General features: G+C 36.4%; 1 long non-coding RNA gene and 2 pseudogenes across 1 annotated transcript in view; all 3 read left to right on the forward strand.

Annotated features, from left to right (window-relative positions):
- LINC02465 (long intergenic non-protein coding RNA 2465) overlaps positions 1 to 26,870 on the forward strand; it is a 183,750-nt gene that overhangs the window by 111,872 nt on the left and 45,008 nt on the right. The window contains exons 12-13 of the long non-coding RNA NR_151713.1: positions 17,048 to 17,164; positions 25,144 to 25,213. This is a non-coding gene — a long non-coding RNA (long intergenic non-protein coding RNA 2465). The remainder of the gene's footprint in view (positions 1 to 17,047; positions 17,165 to 25,143; positions 25,214 to 26,870) is intronic.
- Positions 13,656 to 14,411, forward strand: LOC100128983 (mbt domain containing 1 pseudogene; annotated as a pseudogene).
- On the forward strand, positions 19,511 to 20,751 carry EEF1GP8 (eukaryotic translation elongation factor 1 gamma pseudogene 8; annotated as a pseudogene).

Below are 26,870 nucleotides of genomic sequence, written 5' to 3' on the forward strand. Positions count from 1 at the left end.
AAATTAGAATACTGCGATAAATGCTGTTTAGTGAATTAATGGAAAGCCAAATGAATAATTTGATGGAAGTTTTTATTTTTCCCTCCATTATATTAAAATTGCATGGGAGCTTTTACTATTGGGCAATGTTTTCCTTAAAAAGTTATGTTATATTTTCAGTTTCAGCTCTGACATACAAAAAGCTGTCACTCTTGTCCCCACAAGTAAAAAGATAAGCAAATTAACATGAATTTTCTTAGAGCCATCTTAAAATTGAAGTCCCAGGGCAAATTGTCACTCTGAAATATGGAGAGACAGGTCAATAGAGAGAATCACAGCCAAGGTCAGCTTACCTGAAGCAGAAGCCACTGGACCCAGTGACTGGTAGGAACACTTAAATAGTAGTTTTGATGATTTGCTAGAGGCTGCTTGTAAACTCAAACCAGTTTACATGCAGCCTCTAGTAAACTAGTTTGAATACACAGCCTGGTTGCATATAGTTTGAGAATTAGAAATTTCTGGGAGCCCAGTCTCCCCACTTCTTTTCCTTTTGAGTTAAAGAATTTAGATCTCCAGGGGACTGATCCCCTGACTGAGAATTGAACCTCGGCCACAGTGTTGGAAGTACCAAACCCTAACCACTAGATTACAGGGTGGAGTGGCCTTTGGGGGCCAAGTCTTATGCAGGTCTAGCGAAAGGAAAAGTAACTAAAGTGCCCAGAGCATTCTCCATAATAAAGGCCTGCTCTCTAAATGAAACTACTTTACCAGAGCTTTATATGACTTGGAAGGAAAAACGATTAGCCAACTCTAGCATTCCTGTCTCCTGTAAGGAGAGAGAATAAAGGCTAAGAAATGCTGAACATCACAGCTTAGAGAGACTGACTAAACACTGAGATTTAATCATAAAATTACAGAATGCTTCCTGTCCCTAACATTTTACCATCACATCAACAGTGCTCTGTTATAAGAACAGTGGATTACAACTGAGAGAGCTGGAAGACACACAAACTATTGAAGGAGTTCTTAGTGAAATCCAAAGACAATAGGAGAAGAAACAGAGAGGGAACTAGAAGAAACTGATGCATCTGGCAACTACACCTTGTATGGCATTGTTCTTAGCAAGATTAACATAGGTCCTCATACTAAAAGCCTAATTATTTCAGTTCCTGTTACCCAATACATCCTGTGTGGCTTTCAACAAAACATTTAAAAACATGGTAAGAGGGAAAAAAAAATCTGGAGAAGCAAAGCAAGAATCAGAACCCAATGTGAATATAACATTAATTCTGTAATTAGCAGAAAATGAATTTAAATAATGATTAAAATGTTAAGGGCTCTAATAGAAAAAGTAGACAACATGCAAGAATAGATGAACATTGTAGAGAAATGAAAACTCTGAAAGAGAATTAAAAGGAAATGCAAGAAATCAAAACTACTGTAATAGAAATGGCAGATGCCTTTGATGGACTCCTAGCTAGAGTGTGCACCACCAATTAAAAAAAATCAGTGAGCTTCAAGATATGTTCATAAATACTTCCCAAACTGAAATGCGAAGACAAAAGAAAAATAAAGACAAAAAATTAAAACACAATATCCTGAACTGTGGGACAATTACAAAAGGTATAAATGCATGTAACAGGAATACCAGAGGGAAAAGAAAAAGTTATTCATCGCTGGTGGGAGTGCAAAATGGTATAGTGATACTGGAAGACAGTTTGGCGATTTCTTACAAAGCTAAACAGTCTTACCATATGATGCAGCAGTCCCATTCTTAGGTATTTACCTAATGAGTTTGAAAATTTATATCTGCATATAAACATGCACATGAATGCATATAGCAGCTTTATTCACAATTGCCAAAAACTAGAAAGAAGCAACCAAGATACCTTTCAGTAGGTTGAATGGATTAACAAATACCCTATATATTACATGAAACGGAGTATTATTTGACAATAAGGAGAGATGATCTATTAAGCCACAAAAAGACATTGAAGAACCTTAAAAGCATATTGCTAAGTAAAAGAAAAAAAATCAGTCTGAAAAGGCTGTATATAATATGATTCTGACTGTGACATTCTGGAAAAGACAATACTGTAGATAAGGTTAAAAAGGTCAGTGGTTGCCCGGGTTTTGAAAGAGAGAGAGTGGGGTGAATAGATTAAGCACAGAGGTTTTCTAGGGCAGTGAAATATTCTGTATGAGATTGTAATGGTGGATACACAACATGCATTTGTGAAAAACATAGAAGTGTACAACAAAAGGTGAACCTTAGTATAAATTATGAACTATACTTCATAATAATGTATCAATATATCAATATGTTCATTAACTGTGACTATGTACCACACTAATACAGGATGTTAGTAAGAGGGGAAATTGTGTGTATGTGGTAGGGAGTATATGGAGACTATATTATCTGCGCACAGTTTCTGCAAATTCAAAATAATTCTTAAAATGAGTCTATTAAGCCTTTTTGCATAATTTCAACTTTATTTTAGATTTGGGGGTACAAGTGCACATTTGTTATGTGAGTCTATTAATTTAAAATGTTATATCATGTCATATAAAAATAATAATGTTCAACTAATTTTGACTGTGAAACCAGCATTTTTATATAGTTTCCATTTTATATTACTGGCTCAATATTAAGGTTCCTCAAAAAGTTTATGGAAAATACATATTATGGAAAAATGATGCACGGATGTTAATTTTTTTACACCAAAATAAGTTCATATTAACTTGTTATATCATGTCTGAACCTGATCGACTTTGAAGCACTAAGATAGATAATACATCAGTTTGAAGAGTCCCCTATCAGAGCAACATAAATTTTGATAAAACTGAAGAACAAACATTAAATTTATGATGAAGCTTGGGTGAAAGAATGGTGAAATAATTGATGCTTTATGAAAAGTTTATGGGATCAAAGCTCTAAAGAATTAGCAGTTTACAAATGGAGAACTTTTGAAGAAGGGACAAGACAATGTTGATGATTAAGCCGCTAATGGTAGACCATCTAACATCAACTTGTGAGAAAAAAATTCATCTTGTTTATGTCCTGATTGAAGAGGACTAATGATTAACAGGGGAAACAATAGCCAACACTGTAGACACCTTAATTGGTTCAGTTTATACAATCCTGACTGAAAAATTAAAGTTGAGCACATTTTCTACTCAATAGTTGCCAAATCATCACGTCCAGATCAGCTGCAGATGAGAGCAGAGCTTTCAAGGGAAATGGTAAACAAGTGAGATCCAGGTCCTGAAGAATTTCTTGGAAGAACTATAATAGAAGATGAAACATGGCTTTACCAGTATGATCCTGAAGTCAAAGCACAATCAGAGCAGTGGCTATCAAGAGGTAAAAGTGGTTCAGTTAAAGCAAAAGTGAACCAGTCAAGAGCAAATATCATGCAACAGTTTTTTGGAATATGCAAGGAATATTGTTTGATGACTTTCTGGAGGGCCAAAGAGTAATAAAAGTTGCTTATTATGAGAGTGTCTTGATAGCCAAAGCTTTAATAAAGAGATGCCTGGGAAAGCTTCACCAGAGAGGAGTTCTCCACCATCATAGCACTCCTGCTCATTCCTTTCATCTAACAAGGGCAATTTTGTGAGTTTCTGTAGAAAATCATTAGGCATTCCCTGTACAGTCCTGATCTGGCTCATTCTGACTTGTTTATATTTCCTAATCAAAAAATCTTTGAAAGGCACTCATTTTTCTTCAGTTAATAATGTAAAAAAACTGCATTGACATGGTTACATTCCTAAGACCCTCAGTTTTTTAAGGTTGAACTAAATGACTGATATCATTGCTTACAAAAGTGTCTTAAACTTGATAGAGCTTATGCTGAGAAATTCAGTTTATGTTTGTATTTTTATCTTTAAATTTTATTTTCCACAAACTTTTTGAAGTCTCCTCATATTCTTGTGTGATACTGCAATGGTATAGTTTAATATTTGAATTTAGATCTAAAACACAACTCTGAAGTATTGTTGAATTTGATTACTATATTGCTCAAATGAACACTTCAAATTAGAAAAAAATTCTGTTATCTAAATAACCATGTACATATATATATATATTTACATGCACAGAGAGAGTAAATCACATTGTTTCCAAATATTAATAATGCCTTAAAGAATTAGTATTGACTATATGAGTTTCCAAAATTAATAAAATATGAGCATCCTTTGTTAATGCTCTTTGGTAATATAAAAACCCATTTCATTTTTACTATGATGATGGTTCTAATTTTACCAAAGATTTGCTTGACTTCTCTATGATGATAAGTTAACCACCCATTAGAGTGTTAAATAACTAAGGTTCTTCTCTTTTCTTTTTTTTTTTTATTATTATACTTTAAGTTTTAGGGTACATGTGCACAATGTGCAGGTTAGTTACATATGTATACATGTGCCATGCTGGTGTGCCGCACCCATTAACTCATCATACCAATATTAGGTATATCTGGTTCTTCTCTTTTCTGAGTTCTTTACCCCACTAATCTAGTTAGTGTTTTATTCTTGACTTTAATTTTACTGATACTATCTTGACTTCGAGATTCATATTAGCCATTCATTTCTCAGAGGATCAAATGAAAAGGTAAACACATACTTATAAAGTACATGACCATAGCTCAAGTGAATTTTATGCACCACAAGGAGGAACTCACCCATTTGCTGGTTTCGAAGATAATTTCATTACTTCATGTGCAAATAAAGTAACATTTCTAAAATTATTAAATAAATTGTTGATTATTTTCTGTATGCTTTTATGATTTCAAAGCAAATAAAGTTTTCACCTAAATATCTTTTCAGTGTTTTAAAAGTAATACAACAAGACATCTTTTACATAATTATAGACAATGAACATAAGTGTACTCACATCCTTATGATCAATTTTATTGAGTGAACTAATAACAACAGACTCATGAGTATTTTGAAGTTAAAGGAGTAAATTTTTGTCTGGCTGAAAGTATTAGTCTATATGTAGCAATATTTTAATTTATTCATTTGTTTCATCAGTCATTAAGACTAATTTACTGAATCTACTATATATTAGGCACAAAATGTGGTATAGATACAGAATATTTTGTCATCATACAATTCTCATTTGTAAAGTTATTGTTTATTTTGTTTATTGTACCATTTGAAGTATAAATTAATCCTTGAGATCTTTAAGTACATCCAGTATTTGGGGAAAATTTTAATATTCTAAAAAGTTATGCACATTATTCTATACTAAATATCACAAATATGTCATAAAAATGAGTTATTTAAAAAGTTCCATTATAAATAAATAAACAAAATTGGCACATAACTTCACTCTTCAGAGAAGGATGAAAAGGAATCATGTGGATAGTAGATACTAAATATGTTGACAGAGAAAGAGAGGGACTGAGAGGCTGATTGAGAACAGCTATGAAGAGGGGCAGTTGGCTTCTTGATTTTCTCCATCTTGGAGTTATTTTAACATTCTATTATATCTAAGTGTCTTGTTGCACCTTGGCCTACTGCCTAAAATGAGCATATAGGTGTACACATTTAACCAGTACATAATTTAGATCTGTTGGAAATTCTTCCTATGCAAGTTCCTGTTCTTTATTTTCTTTAACATCTTTGTACCTAAGTTAACTTATATCCTTTTATTGTTGTTTTGTCATCTTAATCTATAATTTATTTTTCCCATTATAGAAGCTATCTCCACTAAATAGTACCAATTTGAAACATAGAGAAAAATAGAAAAAAAAGTGAGATCTGCTGTATATAGTTTTATTCCTAGACATAATCACAGGTAGTAGCTTGACATCCCATCTATTTTTAAAATTTAATTGAAATGCATTTTATGAGATTTTCCTCCTAGAAGCCTTCCTAGGTTCTTTGATTTAAAATTGTTTTCACACAGTAGTTTCCAAGGCAGCTTGCAACTTCCCCCTTCTAGGACTTAAAACATTTCCATTAAATAGCTGTTTAATTGCCTGCATGCAGCCTCCCACTCCCACACAAACCTAACTAGGTTGTAGGCTCTAAAAAAGCAAGAACTCTCTGTCTTAACCATTACTGTATTTCTAGCAACTAACAAAGTACTGTGCATATAGTAGGATCAATAAATATTTGTTCATACAGAACTAATTGTTGTAAAAGTGTATATTTTCCTTTTGCAATTAACACAGTAGCATAAGTATTTCTCCATATTACAGTATTTACTCTTTAAGTATTTTTTATGTGGCTCGCCATCTGTTCATTGCATAAAAATCAATTTCAAGATTGTTGGACTCTTTGACTTATGTTTATCACCACTATAAACCAGGGTTCTTAGCAAGGCAATTTCCCACATCATTTCCTACTTCCTCTTCACTTCTATAAACTGTAACTAAATCTTCGTAAAACAGACAGAAGCAAAGTCTTAACTCAAAGACTAATGAGCATGGCAAATCTAATGAAAAAAATCCTAAAACTTTTTTTATGCCTGTTGGTTTATCTTGTAATTTAATGGCAACACAGTAAGCATTAAGGGACCCTCTTCCTTCTTTTTTAAAAATGTGACTTCTCTTATTCCAATTACATTTAAAAACCCTTTTCTCAATTCAACACTACATTTTACATAAAAGCAATAAACAGGGCATGAAGAAAGTTTCTACATTTAATTTTGTTATATCTGTTTTTTAATATCTGAGGATGATCACGTGTTCATTCGCTAATATGATTAATATGATTACTAGAGTGTTTTGTATGGTACTGAGGCCATAGTTTAGTGGGATGAACTGCCATGTAAACCAAAACTTATTACACACTTCCAAATAAGGGCCATTAACAAAATATGTAAATATGTAAAGCTAAAAGATCTTTATTTTCTGTGTTTGGGATTTCATTTTAGGGAATGCTATCTAAGAAGCTTCTTCAACAGGTAGCTAACCGGCTAATACTTAGAGAATCTGCTTGATGTGTAAGGGCAGGTTTATCATATTTCAAAAATGTGTACACTTAAAGTATATGGTAAGAACAATATTGTTACCTTTCTGAAAGCAATAAACAGTATTTCATCAAATTTATTTTGTATAGATTAGATGAGGGAGAATTTCAATTAACAGTTAGAACTCTATATTCTTAATATATCAAAATATCTCAAAACCAAGTTATCAGTTTAGATAACAAACTATCAAGTGTGCAAATATATGTAAGTATTGCCTCTTGACTCAGTTTTAAAGAGCTGTTTGGAAGCTTAACGAATTGCTAAGCAATAATAAATTACATATCAAAAAGGGAATCTGTATACCTTTGGGAAGACTAAAGTTTGTATTGTCATCACTGTCTGGCAAAGCATGAGTAAGTTTAAAACATATTTTTCTATAGTAGAATGATATATCTTTCAGCTGAGAGTTTGGGGTCTTTTATGTAAATCTTTTTACCTGAGTATATCTGAAATTTCCTTTTAGAATCATCTTCAAAGTAAGGACAGATCAAAGTGTCAAGGTGCTAGATCAAAAGCAATGCCTTTTAAAAACTCTTATTTTTTGCTGTAATTCAAAGAAAGTTAGTAAATATTATCATCTCAACATCATTATAGGGAAGTAAAAATTTAATATGGGCCCTTATATGCTTACCTTGAAAAGCAAGAGGACCTTGTAAAATAAAAAATAGAAAAGTGAGAGACAACATTATTTCACACACTGAACAAAATAGCAGCAAACGTTAGTGCCATCAAAAGCAAATAAAGGTTTCACAAGTGTTACCATTTTGTGCATACCTCCAGCTTAGCAATTGTTACATTGAACTGTGGTGGTATGCTTATATTTTGTTTTTCTTACTGTACTGTAAACCTCTAAAGGAAGGACACTGTCTTATTTATCCTTGTTTCATTAGCCCCTAGAACAAATTATAGCCTCACAATAGTGCCTTAAGAAATGCTTAAACAACTGAAATAATAATAATAATAAACCCTTTGATAATGGGGTGTTTTAAAATAGCTGTGCCATGGACAAGATAGAATAGTCTTGTGAGTAATTTTGTCATATGTAAAGCCTAAAAGAAGTTGTAAATGGACTAATCAGATAACATTTACTCTGGGATATGTTTTTCTTTCACTTAAACCGTTACATATGTTTACCTTAGAATATAAAAACAACTTAAAGCAATGCTCTCATATTAAGACATGAAGCTTACTTTAGCATTTAGTTTTCTTTAAAAATGCAGTCATATTTCACTAATATGACAGAATTTATAAATTGAAGTTAGCCATTGGTAATATTTTAATGGATTCTACAAAGCTCTAAATAAAACAGATGCCGCTATAGGAGCATGTTTTGTATTTTTACATCATTTGTAGGGAACCTGAGCAAAATAGCTAGGTTACCGATGTTACCAGTGGACCACAACATCTAATCAAGAAAGCAGCTTCCTTGTGCTCCAAAAGATCAAAGCCTCAACTAAGGAAAAAAAATACCTCAGAAAATAACCGTTATAAGACTGATACAAAAACTCAGTTGTCAAAGTACACACTTATTGCATATGCTCACTATATAAAATGTTGACCAAGATTGTAGTATTCAAGATAAACTGTAAATTCAGAAATTCAAGACAGATGAAAAAAATCCTGCCATTTGCAATAACATGGATGAAACTGATGGACATTGGGCTAAGTGCAATAAGCTAGACACACAAAAGAGTACTGCATCATCCCACTTAAATGTGGCATCTAAAAAAGTCAAAGACATAGATGCGAGTGTAGAACTGTAGTTACCAGAGGCAAGGAGGTGGGAAAAAAATTGAGAGATGGGCAAAGGGCACAAATGCAGTTACGTAGGATGAAGTGTAGAGATTCAATGTACAACATGATGACTACAGTCAGTAATAAATTCTGTATTGCACATTAGAAATTTGCTAAGAAAGTAGATTTTGGCCGGGCACGGTGGCTCACGCCTGTAATCCCAGCACTTCGGGAGGCCGAGGCGGGCAGATTACGAGCTCAGGAGATCGAGACCATCCTGGCTAACACGGTGAAACCCAGTCTGTACTAAAAATACAAAAAAAAAAAAAAAATTAGCCAGGCGTGGTGGCGGGCGCTTGTAGTCTCAGCTACTTGGGAGGCTGAGGCAGGAGAATGGTGTGAACCCGGGTGGTGGAGCTTGCAGTGAGCCAAGATCGTGCCACAGCACTCCAGCCTGGGAGACAGAGTGAGACTCCGTCTCAAAAAAAAAAAAAAAAAAAAAAGGAGATTTCATGTGCTCTTGCCACAAAAAAAGAAAGAAAATGGTAACTATGTGAGGAGATGGATATGTTAATTTTCATGACTGTAGTAATCATTTCACTATGTATATGAATGTATATTAAAACGTCATGTTAAACTTCTAAAATACATACAATTATTTAAAAATAATTTTTAAAAAGAGAGAGATAAGGTAGAATGACACAAAAAGTTGATAGATCCAGAGAAATAATGGCTCAGAAAATGTTGATAAAATCCTTTCCCATATTCTCCAAATGAAAAGATCTTTAAAAGAGTCAGATTTTTGTGAAGCTATTATGGAAAATGAAAAATGGTTTGTAAAGTTTGAAGTTTGAGGCTATTGGGAACTCTGAGGAGCAGGAGAGAATGTGGGCATATGAGACTGAGCAAAAGATGGGAAACAAGAACTTATTAAGTACCTGCTGTGAGGCATTTGTTGGAAAATTAGCTCTATAGGTTATGGCACAATGTTAATGAGCCCAAGGTTGAGTGTTCCCTATTGACTTTGGGATGGGTTAGGTGTGCTATTCAGTGGCCTCTGAATCCAAGAAAGCCTTGGCAAGCTGTTTACATGTGTTGCTGGGGCTCAGGGTACAGAAATGATTTTGGGAACTCCATAACTCATCATTTCTGCTGTATGCACGCTCTCATGCCGTGCACATTCCAGTGGCTATTGAAGCATCATTTGGCTCTCTCTCTCTCTCTCTCTCTATATATATATATATACACATGTAAACAAAAAAGAGATTTCTTCTTTTTACAGTTATTTTCTTGATATTCTCTTTTGATGCTATTATTGGAGAATGTGGTGACAGTTCAGTGAAGTATTGGATATTATGTATAAGAAGTCATAAACAGTTTCATATACTTTAATGTAATAATTTATCTTCTGAAAATTTAGCTTAGAAATAATTTGATAACTAAAAGCTCATATCTATAAAAATAAATTGTACAGTTATTTATGTTAGGTAAAAATCAAATACAAGCTAAATAAAATGCCCAATCATAGAAGAATACCTCCACAATTTTAGAACATTACTGTATATAATGTTATTCATGAATAAAATAAATATAATTATGGCAACTGAAAAGGAATATAGGAAAAACTCATGAGAGAACGCTGGAAGAAAAAAGCAGCGTAAAATGTGAAATACATTATGAATACAACTTTTGAATATTTTAATATGAATACTACAATTGAAATGCACACACACACACACACACAGAAACAGAATAATGTAAGAACCTGGTTAAGAAAGAGAAGTTGGATTAAGTGGGGGCAGGCAGTATAGATGAGTGCTCATTTCTGCAGATTCTCCAGTCACATTGACATGGTCTGGATTTTCACTCCTCCATTTACTACCTATGTAATCATGAGCAAGTTATTGCAACATTCTGTACCTCAGTATGCTCATCTTTGAATATGGAATAATAATGCTCCTAGCCTCATAAAGATGTTTCATGGCTGGGCACGGTGCCTCACGACTGTAATCTCAGCACTTTGGGAGGCCGAGGAAGGTGGATCACGAGGTCAAGAGATCGAGACGATCCTGGCCAACATGGTGAAACCCCGTCTCCACTAAAAATACAAAAATTAACTGGGTGTGGTGGCACGCACCTGTAGTACCAGCTACTCAGGAGGCTGAAGCAGGAGAATCGCTTGAACCTGGGAGGCGGAGGTTGCAGTGAGCAGAGATTATGCCACTGCACTCTGGCCTGGCGTCAGAGTGACAGACTCCATCTCAAAAAAAATAAGTAAATAAAAGATGTTTCACAATTGAATGAGATGATATATGCAAAGGCTCTGACCGTATGCTGGTACTCAATAAATATGTATTGTTATTAGAACAGTGATAATAGTAATTATTTTTATCATTAGTCATTTTGTATTTTTCCAGTTTTCATTTTTTAATATTAATAATGATAGCAGGAAACATTTAAATGTTTACCTTTTGACAGGCAGGGGTCAAAAATATTTACTTCAAAACCAAGTATACCTGAGTTTGAGAGCAGCTCTGTAATTTTCTAGTTTTGTAGTATCAGAAATCTTAGCCATCTTCCCTGTTAGTTCCACTTTCTATAAGCAACCCACTCATGGGGTGTTGCACAGATTAATATATGATGAGGCTTATAAAGCACTTAGAAATTATTCAATAAAAGGCAATTATTTCACTTACAGTTTACAATTCCAAAAGATAGTTACATATAGGATCAACTTTATGTATTGCAGTTAAGGAAACTAAGATTTGGAAGTCAAGAGCCTATCCCAGCCACGCTGCCAATGAGAGCCTGAATCAGGATTTAACTCCTAATTGATCCAGTTTACTATTGCTATTACTATTTGTAAATAACCATTTGCTATAGCCACATCAATTTCAGAAAAATAAAGCAGTAAATAAAAGGCTGGAGTCACAGCCCTTTGAATCCTGGCCTAAGGGGAGGGGATGCTGTTGGGAGTGAGGGGTTAATGGAAATCCTTTGAGCTTTTCACAATTCCCATCCTCTTTTTTGCTCTCACTCGGGTCCCCTGGCTTGTGGTGCCATGTAATGTCCTGGCTCTGCCATCAAGCAAGCTGCTGCAGTGCTTGCTTACCCTCACTGCACTGTTTCTTGTATTTCTTCTCTTCATGTCTCTCGACTCACATTCACATGGCCACGTTTGGGGTAATGTACTCTGACACATCTGAGATATCTGGTCAGCTTGAGACATTGGATGATTTTCTTCCTCATTTGCTCCTTCTCCAGCTGAGGAGGCATCAACTGCTCAGATTCCTAGTCCCTTTCCTGGACTGGAACTCCTCACCCCATCCTCCCAAACCTGTAATCCCCTGAGAGTCTGGGTGTGAGGAGAAATGGGTGATTGAGACACTCCACCACTGACTGGTATCATGGGCGGAAGGAGAGAGAACTTCACAACATGCCTCTGCAAGGTGACTTTGTGTAAGAAAATGATCAAGTAAATAGCAGTTTCTTCTAGCATAAAAAGACACATGACATTTAAATAAAAATGTTGTTAGTATCTTAGCTTGTTTCAATAAATGTTAAGCAGAAGTGTATTTATTCAGATATTTTCTCCTCTCATATGTTTTGAATCTACAGTCAAATGTTTTTCCTTTATATTCAGTTTCCCATACCTTTTTCCATTTGGAATCATGTCAATCAGCTTTGTAGCTAAAGACAGTGACATGCTGAAAGAAGGTGAATACTACACGATCCGGTGTCTGCTTAAGTTTGGTGTTTAATGCTCTAAAAATTTGGATAAATTAGTTTTAAAAAAGCTGGTAGTAAAAGCCTCATAAAAATTAATCCCAGTTAATGGTATTGTAGGGATGTTCCCAGAGGAGGATAGTACTTAAATCACAAAATCTTGGCTTGAGAAGGAACCAGTTTTCTTATTTGAAGGTGTGTATGTGTGTGTGTGTGTGTGTTCATCTTCTTGATGTTTGTGAACCTGTTCTTGGAACTCACTTTCTTCCCATAATTTCATGAGCCATAATGCAATGATTTATCTTTTTTCCTTTCATTCATGAAAGGTCTTTTTTTTTTCTTTTTGCTTATATATATATTTTTCTGTTCCTGCACTACTCAGTTCCCACCTCTTGTTTTGAGACTATATTCCCTGCCCTGTGTAGTTCATGACTATAAAAATACCAAAATCTTCATCCCAATCTCTGAATTCTCCCATCTAAAACAGTGTAAAATCTCTAAATATCTACTATAACTGTGTTCTTCATGGTTATCTGAAACTTAACATTGTCAAAACAAAATTCATTAATTTTTCTCCACATCAACTTTATTAATACTTTCATGTCATCACATTTATATCCATATATGCAACATATCTATATGTTCTAGGCTTATGTATCAGTAGAAACTGAGGCCTACTGCCAACAGCTACATGTGAGGGCTTGGGAGAAGATACCATGATTCTAGTTAAGCCTTTTGATAATGGCAGCTCCAGCAGATAGCTTGTTTGCAGCTTTATAAGAGACCTACCACTAGAGACAAGTAGCTAAGCTTCTTCCAAATTCCTGACCTGCAGAATCTGTGTGAGGTAATGAATGTTTTTTAAGCTAAGTTTTAGGATAAATTTTTGTGTATCAGAAGAGAACTAATGCCATAACTTTCTAATATAAATAGCATATCCATGTGATTAAACTGTTTTTTAAAATAGAAAGGATGGAGAATGATCCAGCAGAGCTTTGCTGGAGTTGTGCCTTCCTGAGAAGTCAGACTTGGGATAGAAAAAGGACTTGGTGGTCCTGGAAGCATGGACAAACTATCCTTGAGGTTCTGTTGGAAATCATAAAGGATTTGAGTCATAAAGATGTTAAAAGTCATCTAAATTAAAACTTTCACCAAAAGCAACCATCTTCTCTCCAGTCTTGACAAGTAACTGAAAGGATCTGAAAAGAAGAGATTCACTTAGGAGGGTTGACAATTATATGGTGGCTATAGTGAGGACCCAAGTCATAGCTCAGGCTCTGGTGAAAGAAAGTGAGAAATCGCTCCTTTATCTTTTAATCTTCAAATTATAAAACATGAATAGACAAACTTTTGCTACACAGATGGCAAATCTGGCAATGCTGCTGGCACTATGCATGAAATAGTTGGTTTACAGGATGTTTTCTACTCTAAAACAAAATATTCTTGCAGTGTTTCATGTTCAAGAATGTATTCATCAAATTCCAAAGAGTTTTGGCCTGACTTCAGATAACAGGTAAGCCGCCATCAAAGAAAGCAAGAGTTCCTCAGAAACAGACTTAGCTGATAAACTGGAAGCATATGCTCAGGATCATGCCACTTTGCAGAATCAAGAGAAGACTAAAGCAGCAGCAGTCTCCATGGAAGTTTCAGCTAAGATAACAACATCATTAGCAGTAGTTTTCTGCAGCTTATTACTGGCTTTAAGCGTGCACTCATAGGATGTGCTCAGAAAGTGTGATGGTATATATTCCTGTGAAGACTGAAGTCAACCTACCATAGTCTTCTGGACTTCTGGAAATAGGAAATTTGCAAATTGCAATGCCCTATTAAGATATGAATTTTTGAAAATTAACTGCAGTTCAGTTTTCTGATGCAATATATGTGCTCCTTTCATCACACTGGTTTATGAACTGACAGTGAGGAACAACTTGTCCACCCTAAAAGTATTCAACATGAGTATACAAGTTAGAAAGTTTTCCTAGTGGAACAACTTAATGTGTAAAGGAATATCAGAGGCTGGGTAATTTATAAGGAAAAGAAGTTTATTTGGCTCATGGTTCTGCAGGCTGTATAAGCATGGCACCAGCATCTGCTTAGTTTCTGGTGAGGCCTCAGTAAGCTTTTACTCATGGCAGAAGATGAACAGGGGGCAGTCGTGTCACATGGTGAGAGAGGGAGCAGGAGCAACAGGGAGGAGGTGCCAGACTCTTTAAGAGTTAAATCTCCTGGTAACTAAAAGAATAAAATCTCACTAAAGAGAACTAATTACCACAAGGGGGGCACCAAGCCATTCATGAGGGATCCACCCTCTTGATTCAAATACCTCCCACCAGGCCCCACCTCCAATATTGGGGATCAAATTTCAACATGTGATTTGGAGGGGAAAAATATCCAAAGTGTATAAGGTACCAAATGCTTCTGACTAATATTTCAAAAAGTTTTCCAAAGGTGTATAGGACTTTGATCTTTGAATGAGAGTAGAAGTGGCTGACAAGATGCAATATGTCAAACATGAGTAGCAATGGTAAAAACTATAATGGGAGAAAGATTTACACTCATGCAAAATATAAAACCAAGATAACAGTGGAACCACATGGGAGGCCCATTAACTCATCATTTTTGTTGATTTGAGGTATAAGTCACAGATTCAACATATCTATTATTAAGAAGAAAAAGGCTAGATATTTTTATACATTTATTTTGTAAGATATAAGGAGTAGACCAGAGTGAGGAATGGTTCAAACAATAAAGGATATTGGAAAATATAGACTCATTAAATCTATAGTATGTGTTGTACTATTAGAAAGGTGCTGGCTGATGGACTTCTAATGATTGAGATCAATAATCTGATTGGTATTGTTATTATGCACTTTGCCCTTATATTTTCTCTCTTGGCTTCTATGATATTAACAAAATTGAAATTACTCCACTCAGAAGTTATACAAAACTTCCTTTTGAGTGTTTTGAAAACTTTAGAGAAACAGAGTCCATTACTTAACCAGTAAAACTGTTTTTAAAAATAAGTTATAAATCAGAGATAGCATACAGATATGATAATAAAAGAGGTAGATTTTATGAAGCCACATTTAGTATGCATGGCTACAGCAACTTGAATTATTCGTTGTCTCTTAAGGATATATTTTGATGGATGGAAAGGCAATATTGATCAGTGGGTAGAAGGTGAGGCCCTGACCTCTATCCTGTAAGGTGGTATCAATTAACTAGATATCAACTGCAGCCTTGAGTAAAGTACACAGAGATTCCTCAAAACAGAAAAAAAAAAATCTAATCCCAGCAATGCAAAGGATATGAGATAAAAGTTACATTATATCTAAGGAGTCACTAGGAGAGAATTATAATAAAGGCACATCTGATCAGGAAAGCAGTGGCTCTGTCAATTTCTACATTCAAAAAGGCCCATCCACTGGCTCATAAAAAGCTTCAGAGGGGAATTTTACACAATACAAATTTATTACCAACCCAACTGTACCGTGGCCTAACATTCAACAGAGTGGATATATCAGTTCTAGTTTTGTCAGGTGGCTGAGGAAACTATTTTAGTCAACATAGTGGAAGTACCATTATATAAAGACAGACCATTTTTTCTATATTTGAAGTTTTCAAAGAAGTTTAAGTGCTTTATCACTTAGCATTTATGTATTTTGTTAATGAGAACCAAAAATTTAACTCTTTGGTTAAATTATTAGTAATTGTGGCACCCTAAGGGTTAAAAGAAAATTAAAAATGGGCTTAGCTGGCAGGAACAGAAACAGGGATAGAGGACAGCGAATGTTCTGAGAAACTGGGCCAACTGTAAATGGCTCACTTGCAACCAAACATTAAACCCAAGTGCTCAGCTCATGGCCCACCTGTGCCGGGTCCGTCCTGCAGACCCTGGTGGAGAGAAGGATGAAAGGAGTACTCAGACACAGGTATGCAGTGTAACAGCAGCTAGGGGGCTGCTGGCACTAGTGGCTGAAGAAAAGAGCAGTCTCGAACAGCTGGAGCTGCTTATTCAATACACACATAATGCTGAAAGCCTGGAGCAAACACAATCTGTGGGTAATTAACATTATTGTTGCCCCTTTCAGAGAGCAGTCACACACGTGGATGATCAAAGGTCATTTCCTGGACAACAAAAGTAAACAAGCCTATTTAAGATAAATCCCCCTACACTCCGTTGTACCTATTCCTCACCCTCTGCCTCAGGGTAGGAGAATAGCTGCCTTCAGCTTATTCTCCCCCAAAGCTATGCAGAGTCTTCCAATCTTTCAGAAGGCCTGCTCCTTTCCCTATAGCTTCTCCCACCACTCTGACTGATCCCCCACACACCTGCACCCAAGCATCCTGTTTCAAGCATTTAGCCCAAGCAGCATGACCCTTTAAAAACTCCTCTAGTCTCCACTTCGTCGCAGACCTTCCCTCTGCTGTTTTGCCCATTGCTCTCTTGCAATATATCTCCCCTTTCTCTAATATATCTGCCTTTCTAAACTTATGACTGTCTTGGTAAATTCTTTTACCGCCCATGCTGGCCTCAGGCAGTCATTGACCATGACATTTTGGTAGCCTGTACAGGGAACCTCTCTACAGGAGACTCTCTCCCCTCTTCCTTTCTGTCTTCCCACTCAGGATCCTCTGTGGACAGCACCCAAGATGGAAACAACTGACAGTCTATGGCCAGGGCTATACTCTGGTGAAACTGAAAGGTGTCTGCATGGAAGTGTCTGACTACCACCATCCACTCAGGTGAGGGACCTAAGTTCATTTTCTTTTTTCAGACTTCCAGCAGCCGACCTCTAGTAGTGCTCTGGTAACTAGTGGTATCTGTCCAGGGCAGCTCCCTGGTGTTGCCTGAAGGCCAAAGGGCAAACATCTGGCTGCCTTCCAGAAGGGAAAAAGGTTGTTTCCTATCCTTTCTGGTCAGAGGTCTCCAATCCCTGCATGTTGCAGAATTAGCAGCAGCGGCTCCTCTAGGGCAAATCCACACACATTTTGGGTGACATAAACTCTCTCTTCCTCTTACTCTAATTCTCACATAAAGGTAGCCAGACCTCCAGCTCCAAATGTTCCCAAATCAGGTGATCGCCAGTGGCCTCAGAGTGATGAATCTCCCCATTCCCATCCCTTCTCCTGGGGCTGGTTCCAGGCTGAGTTCTCCCTTCACCTTCATACCTCCTGCCTGGACAAGCCATCTAGTGTAAGGTCCCAGCGGTATTGTCCCCAGTGCTGGGAGGTCTTTCCAAATAGGTGCAATACCCCTCTAGGAAGGACATCTCAGAAGTACCCCAGTGGACTTGAATGGTATCCTTTCCCCTGTCAGGATGCCTTGAGAGAAAGTATGCTTCATGTCCCCAGCAGATATCAGCCTCCAGTGGCTCATCATTTTCCAGTCCCAGCATGGGGCAAACTTTGTGTATTCCTTCCAACTCACCTCTGTGTTGCATCCTAAAACATTGGGACAAATTTCACCCTCAGACTCTCAAGAAGAATTGCCTAATTTTCTTGTGTAATGTGGTTTAGCCTGTTGATAAACTCTCAGATCGATTAGCCTAGACTCTGAATGGGACTTTGGATTTTAATACTTTTTGCAACTCAATCTGTGTTGTCAAAATTCCTCCAAATGGCCTGAGGTTCCTTTTATCCAGGCTTTTATGTCCCTGGGGTTGGGACCCAGACCTTCAAGGAAACTGTTGAATTTACCTAGCAAAGTTCTTACCTCTCCTGACTCCAGACATTTCAGATGAACCCTCTTTCATGCTCCCATGGTCAAGATCCTCCCCACCTTCCTCCTCTTCCTCCTCCCCAACAGTGTATCTATTCCTATGCCTTTCCCTCCTTCCACTCCACCTTCTACCTCCTTCTCTCTGCCTCTCCCCTACCTGGAACCTTTTTCTCCCCTCACATACTGGATTGGGAGCCATTTATTATCCCACTTCAGCCCCAGGAAAAGTTTTGTCACTCTGAGAAGTGGCAAACCACTTCTAAAAACAATCAGAGTCCATGTTCCTTTCCCATTTTGGACTTCTATCAGATACAAGGTAAACTTAGCTCCTTTAGGACCAAGGCCAGGACTCTTCTCACTTCATAAAAGAATTCAGAGTAAGTTTTGTTTCCTCTGATCTCATTTGTCTGGACGTTTATATTATCTTTACCAACTGTTGTACTCATGAGGAAAGGTCCCACATTTTGTCTCTAGCTCAATGGTGGAAAGATGAAGTTCATGACCAGAGCCCTTAGGATTCTGGCCTGGGGAGAACAGCAGTTCCTGATGTTGATTCTAGATGGACCTACCAAGAGAGAAACACTGGCAGGGAATGCCATAATCCTATAATTACTTGTTTAACTGAAGGCATGAAAAAGGCTGCCATAAAACTGGTCAACTAAGCCGAACTAAGAGAGGTAACACAGAGGTCAAATGAAAACCTAGCTCTATTTCACTCCAAGCTGGCTGGAGCCAAGAGAAAATATACTAATGTGGACCCCAAAAGCCAGAAAGCCTAGCTATTTTGAGTGTTTTTGTTTGTTTGTTTGTTTGTTTGTTTTATCAGCCAGGCATCTCCAAATATTAGACACAAACTCCAGAAACTAGACCAAAGACCACAAACACCATTTCCCATCTTGCTGGATGTGGTTCTTCAAGGTCTTTAATAATGGGAGGAAATATCACAGTCTGAATGGGATAGAAAAGATCGAGAAAGAGATGAGTGGCGGCTCACTACCTGGCTGCTGCCATTGCAAACTCTCTGCCCGTATTAAGGGCTCCTGGCCAGCCATCAGCGTGGAGCCTTATGGGCACAAAGGAGTTCACTATCTGCTATTGCTGTAATCAGCCAGGGCATATCAGCCAGAACTGCCAAAAGCCTCCTCAACCATCTCTTATTTACTGCAAATAAGTGGGGCATTGGAAATGGATTGCCTCTCTCTTCCTCATGTAGAAGGGTCATCCCACAACCAGCAACCCAGTTTGGGAGCACAGCAATGGCAAATGCCCCTAACTCTGTTCCTCAACTGTGAGGAAGCTGACGGAACTGAGAAAGCAGAAAGAGATGACTGATGGGGCTCAGAGGCCATCCAGGCCCCTGTGTTTATTCGCAATAGCAGCCCCAAATTTATTCGCAAATTTCTTGCCAGCAAGGTTCCAGCACTTGAGAGTGACGATGGATTTTGTGTGTTTGAAAGCGATGCCATTGCTACTATGTGAGCAATGAGGAACGGTGGGGAAGGACTCCATAGGCAGCAGCCCAGGTGGTGCAGTGGGTGAGCTCTCTTGATAGCAATGCAGTGTCCCCAGCCAGTGTCTCAGTGTTTCCCACCTTGGGCATCATGCACCACAACAAACAGGCTACTGAGAATGCAAAGGCAGAGGTGAGGCGAATTTTGGGGCTGCTGGATGCTCACTTGAAGACGAGGACTCTTCGTCTGGCTGACATAGTAGTTTTCTGCACCCTGTTGTGGCTCTATAAGCAGGTTCTGGAGCCTTCTTCCTGCCAGGCCTTTCCCAATACCAACTGCTGGTTCCTCACCTGCATTAACCGGCCCCAATTCCGGGCTGTCTTAGGGAAGGTGAAACTGTCTGTGAACATGACCCGGTTTGATGCTAAAAAGCTTGCAGAAGGCCAGCCTGAAAAAGACACCCCATGGAAAGGGAAAGGTTCACGGGAAAATAAGCAGTAGCCCCAGGCTGAGCGGAAGGAGGAGAAAAAGGCAGCTGCCCCTGCTCCTGAGGAGATGGACGAATGTGAGCAGGTGCTGGCTGCTGAGCTCAAGGTCAAAGACCTCTTCGCTCACTTGCTCAAGAGTACCTTTGTGTTGGATGAATTTAAGTGCAAGTACTCCAACGAGAACACGCTCTCTGTGGTGCTGCCCTATTTCTGGGAGCACTTTGATAAGGATGGCTGGTCCCTGTGGTACTCACAATATCGCTTTCCTAAAGAACTCACTCAGACCTTTATGACTTGCAATCTCATCACTGGAATGTTCAAGCGACTGGACAAGCTGAGGAAGATGCCTTTGCCAGTGTCATCCTCTTTGGAACCAACAACAGTAGCTCTATTTCTGGAGTCTGAGGCTTCTGAGGCCAGGAGCTTGCCTTTCTGCTGAGTCCAGATTGGCAGATGGACTACCAGTCATACACATGGCAAAAACCGGCTCCGGGCAGCGACGAGCCCCAGACCCTGGTTGGAGCGTAGTTTTCCTGGGAGGAGGGTTTCCAGAATATGGGCAAAGCCTTCAATCAGGGCGAGATCGTCAAGTGAGTATCTCTTGCCATCTTCTACCTGCCTGCATCTGCCCTTCAGGGTGATGGGAGTCATTAAAGGAAAATGAACACTGAAAAACTAAACTAAACTAAATAATAAAATAAAATAGGGATGGTCAACAGGAGTCTATTTATGGGATCTCATACTCCATGTTGAAGATTTGAGGAAATATCATATTTTCCTAAGTTGAATTTCTTTTTCTTACTAAAATATACACCCCTTCCCCAGGAATGAAATTCTCTTGTTTTTCTGATGTTTTCCTCAGTCTCTGAAATAGTGTTTGGTATAACCAGATCCCAAAACAGGTGTTCTGAATTGCCAGGAAAATCAAATTAAAAGTTGTTTAAAGGTTAATTGATTTCACATTTCAAAACATTTCAGCTCTACTTTAAGTATGTCAAATGTGTTAGAAAACTAATCTGCAAGGGAAATTTTTTTATTTTCTTAAAATTGAACACATATGACAGGAATTATCTTTCACTAATTCAGTAATAATTTTAACAATAATAACTGACTTATGTGTTTTTAAACACCTTTTTCACCCAAATTTTTTAAAAAGTTAAAAAGAGATGTTTATTTTCTCCATTTTTAAAAAAACTTTCTAATAAATTGTGACTGAATGAGAGAATTTTAGCTTTTCCAGTGAGGAACAAGCACTGAATGTCAAAAATTAACTGCGGATGTTCTAGAAGTGTTGCTGGATCTAAGCCTGGCCTCTTCAAATGGTAATATTGATCATTTCCTCTGGAATACAGGTAGAGCTAATTACAAATTAGTCAAAATGATTAACTTCTGCACTCCTCAGCCTGTGAATTACTTTAAAAGATGTCAATGAAAAGCCCAAGGAGACTATTGTTGTTAAGATTTTATTTGAAGCCAAAAAATGCACAGAAAGTTAAAAACTATTAACTCGTCATTTACATTAGGTGTATCCTAGACCTTAAAGTATAATAAAAAAAGTATATATATATAAAAAGAAAGTTAAAAACTAGCAATTTGCTCTTCTAAAATACTTTCTTACTTCTCAGTGTAATAGCATTGGTAATATTCACAGTTTCACTTCATTTTAAGCAAGAGGCATTAATAACATAAAGTTGCTACTAGAAATAAAATTTGTTATTTTAAATATGAATATATGGAACCATATGTTGACATTTTCTGAAACTGACTTTTCAGAGACATAAACACAGTTCAAATCAGCACAAGTTGTTTTTCATTAGTTATATATATAAAATATATATTATTTATTATTATTTAATTTATTATTATTCAATGATAATAAATTATATTATAATAAATATTGTTTTTTATTATTATTAGTTATATATATGTAATTTCAGCTGATAAATTAATGGACACATATCCTAAATCAGTGGTCCTCAACGTTTGCAAATTTATGGGCCCCATTCTAGAGCTAGTCAATTAGAAACTCACAGGTCTAGGCTAGCAATCTTGTTTTAAACTAGCCTTCCAAGTGATTCTTATCCATGTTAAAGATAGAAAAGTATTGTCCTAAACCAACATTGCTGAGGAAAACCTACTGTTAAAGATAGCACTGTAGTACTTCCCAAATCTGAAACATTGAAGAATGTTTCCATAAAACCAAATGTCTATAATACTTTCAAAATAAATATAAGAGTTTTTGTTTTCAGGGTCAGTGAAGTAAACGCAAATCTTGGTTTTCATTACTCATACACAAGAAGCCAATTGTAGGGGAACCGTCTGGGGAACTGAAAGAAACCTTTAGGGATATGATTTGGTAATTTGGTTTTTTAATTATTCATTTGTAGCCATGTCTTATTAGCTTCCAAATCTAGAGCAAAATGATGTATTGGCTATTTTAGAATTTTCCACTCAACTATGAAATATATATCGGTAACATCATTGCAAAGACATATCCTTGATTGAGTCCTGCGAACAGCAGTTAAAGGAAGATAAAGAATTCCAAACATCAAAATGAAATTCAAATTTCTGTTGATTAGGAGGATTCTTAATTCATACTAATAATGAATAGAAAATAACAATGCATAGGACTTTATGTCTTAACCATAATTCCAATTATACAATTTAATGGTCCAATCCTCCTTTATAGTTTGAAATGGATTGCTCACCTCGGATCTATGTTTTTGTTGTTGATGTATATTTTGTGGGTATGTGCGGGTTTTATGAAGAATGACAGGGAAGAAGGAGGAGTTTAAACTCTATTTTTTTTCTTTTTTGCTGTGTATGAAGAAAGCTAAAGCTGTTATTAACTTACAATCCTATCAATACCTACCTCCATCAATCTTTGTATTATGATATTATGTATCTTATACTAATTCATTAATATGGCAAATTATTTTAAAACTTAAAAAAGTAGGTTCAACTGAGCTTCTCCTTTAGTTTTTCATTTGAAAAAATGTCTAAATAAACTACGGTTTTTTGGATATATAGATCACTAACTCTGCAGATTTGATATTTAATTTTTGGATCAATTATATAATTTGAGAAAGTAAAGTTCTCACATAAGATATACATATAGATATAGATTTATAGACATATACCACCAAATTCTTCTCCAGAAAATCTGGTATAGTGAGCTCTACAGGAATTATATGTACTGTGCATGTGTGTGTTTGCGTGTGTGTGTGTGTGTGTGTGTGTGTATATATATATACAATTATATGTGTAATATCAGTCAGTTGTATTTAACATGTAATTCATATATCTATATATAATTTTTGTATTTAGAGATCACTATACCATATTTTATGTATAAATTTATTATATATAAAATATAAATTATATATATTTTATATTATATAGAGAGAGGAATAGAGAAAAACTAAGGATGAAAAATAAATATGTTTGCCCACTACTCCTACAAAAATATAATGAGCATTTTCTTATGAAAAGCCTTTGAACACCAACTATTTTAAACTCCATACTTAAATATTTTTCTAAACTATGAACAACATAAAAGTGATTTATTAAATAAAACATTTCGCCCATGCTATTACCTAAACTTGCATAATATGCAGAGAATCACTATTTGGCTTACCTCAGAATAGGAGTTTGTCAGTAAGAGCCACCACCACTTTTGAAGGTAACAGTTCATAGCCAGAATGTCCTTCAAAGTCACCTGAGAACTCTAGATGCATACACTTAACTGGACCCCATTCTAGAACTACTAAAAAATAATTTTCAAGGTATGAAGTCCCGAACATTTTCTTAATTTATGGTGAGAAATTTTTAGTTTAAAGCAAATAATCTAGACAATATGTGATCCACTGGAAAACTGAGGAAAAAAGGAATCTCTGCTATGTGGCTGTTTTAGATGTTTTACTTCTCTGGGATTTGCCTGGGAGGATCATTAGAAGTATTATCTTGGTTTCCTCAGCTCATTCTCCAACTATTCAATCTATTCTGCTTTCCAAGTAAATCTAAAATGTGTGATGGATGATGCTATGGTCTTAATATTTGTGCCTCCCCCAAATTCTATTTTGAAACCTAACCCCATAGGTGATGATATTAAGAGGTGGGGCCTTAGGAGGTAATTTGGTTGGCTCAGCTCATAAGGCGCAGTGTCCTTACAAAAGAAGCTCAACAGAGCTTGTTCACCCCTTTTCCCATGTAAGGACACATAGAAGACACCATCTATGAAAACCAGGCCCTCACCAGACAGAGAATCTGCTGGCATCTTGATCTTGGATTTTCCAGCCTGCAGAACTGTGAACAATAAATTTCTATTGTTTATAAATTACCCATTATTTTGCTATAGCTGTCTGAAAGGACAAAAGCAACTTCCTTTTTCCAACTTCCAGCACGATAATTTCATTCTCTCTTTTGTTCTTGTCCAGTTGTCTATTATTTCAATGTCCCTTTGTTTGTGAAGAGAAGTAGAAACTCGTGCTTAGTCCATCACATTTAACCAAAATGAAAATTAATTTGAGTGATCTAATATGAGCCATTTTAACCTAGAAAATTTCATTTCTTTTCTTTGGGTTAAGAAGGTTTTCCTGAAGTATGAGTGTGATTATTGCTTTTGTTCTCGTTGACCAAGTCATGTGGCAAAGAGCACAAGTTATTTTTGGTTTGGATTTATTTTGTTTGCCGTCTATAGACATACTCTACTTTTGGTTTTAGTTTTTGACTGTGTTCAAAGAACGGTTTTGAGGTTGTTCTAAAGTGTCCCTGAAACTTCTCTTCAGAATATCCAGTGTCAGCTCTGCCTTTCACTGCCTACAATGTAAGCGTCACTTCTGTTGTTTCTGCTCTCCTGCCTTCTGCCTTACCTCTCACCCAGAATTCTTCCCATTCCAGCATATCTTAAAGATGTCTGGCCACAAGTCCTAGAAGTGGCACTATATTGTAGCATTAAAATTGGTAGTCCATTCTAATATTCCTTAGACTCCTATGGCAAATAATTTCCAGAAGTAAGCCCATTCTCAAGGTAATATTTCTTACTTTTGTTCTTCATTTCTTTAGGCAAATGCATTTGTTTCCCTCTATTCATTATTAGAAGAGAGGAGATTACATACCAGACATATACCAATAGGTAAGTTGACTATCTTGACAGCACTCACAATAGTCTTTTACTCATACCTACTCTTCTTCCCAAATCTGTATTTGAGGTCAGATTGCCCTGCATAATTCATAGATCAATGTACATAGTCTAACAGAAATAAATTAATGTATTATTTTTAAAGTTTGAGGTGAGATAGAACAAAGCAAAAAGGCATATACTGGTTTTCTGACAATTTGAAGTTTTGTTAATGTCAAAAAGTCTTTCAGGGTCCCTTTTACTTTTCTATCTATAGAACTTTAATTGTTGAGATTTTACCTCCTAAGATTACAACACAAGCCCACTTCTTTATGTGGTATTATAAGAATCAATGCATTCAAATTGATATATGAGGGTATGAATGGTTATTTAGACTTGTTCATTGGCCATTTGGAAAACGTTAGCCACATGGCTGAGAACACTGTGGCATAGAGTTTTGATTAGTGTAGTCCCTGAAACTTTGGCCCAGAGGGAAGATGAAAGAATATGAAACTCTATTTTGATGGTTTTGAAAGGGTAGGGAGGTAGGAAAGAAGATATTTACCCTGCTTTCCATAGGAGTGTTGTATTTCTTGTGGCAAAATATGTTAACTTTGAATTATTATCTCTTTCAAATCTATACTTGTTATAGTTAAAAGTTCTCCTTTGATTTTAGAAATAGATTGATTGTTGCCTTAGTAGATAGTAGTTTTCTGAGGTTTTGCCTTTAGTGCTACCTCCATAAATTTGGGAGGAATTTGGAATTGGTTATATTAGGAAAATAGACATAATTTTGATAAGCCTGGATAGACTGGATAAAGGAAATGTGGTAAATATACACTGTGGAATACTATGCAGCCATAAAAAAGAATGAGATGATGTCCTTTGCAGGGACATGGACAGAGCTAGAGGGCATTATCCTTAGCAAACAAACACAGAATGAGAAAGCCAAATACCGCATGTTCTTAATTAAAAGTGGGAGGTAAATGATGAGAACACATGGATACATAGAGGGGAACAATACACATTGGGGCTTTCAGAGGCTGGAGGGTGGGAGGAGGAAGAGGACCAAAAAATAAATAATGGGTCCTAGGCTTAATACCTGGGTGATAAAATAATCTGTACAACAAACTCCCATGACACAAGTTCACCTATATAACAAACCTTCATTTGCACCTCTGAATGTAAAAGTTAAAAAAAGTTAGTATGTATACATCAAAACACACAGGAACATGCTGTATTAATAATTAATTATTGCTCAAAAGTCTAAAATTTATATTGATAAAGTAATTAACTTTTCTTTTGTAAACATGGCATTCAAGATTGCTTTGCCTAAAATGTTGGGTGGTCAAATATCTTAAATGAGATTGGCAGTAGAATCAGTGTAGTGAAAGATGGGATCTGAATGTTGAGATACTTGTTAGGAGATTGGCACTCTTAAAGAATTAAACAGAAATTTTTTTAAAAAGGACAAGTAACTTCAAATTGACTATTTGCTTTAATGTTTGAAACTCTCTGTTATCCAGTCATTTTTTCTTTCAAAGTAGGAAATTGTGTTTAGAAAGCTTGGAAATTTCAACATATTCTTGGGCACTTAATACCTTTTTGGTTTTCTTGCCAATTCCACAAAGGAACCACGTTCATTCCTGATCAGGTTCTTTGTGCTTACTGC

The sequence above is a fragment of the Homo sapiens genome, chromosome 4, assembly GCF_000001405.40.
Source record: "Homo sapiens chromosome 4, GRCh38.p14 Primary Assembly".
NCBI classification, from domain to species: Eukaryota; Metazoa; Chordata; class Mammalia; order Primates; family Hominidae; genus Homo; species Homo sapiens.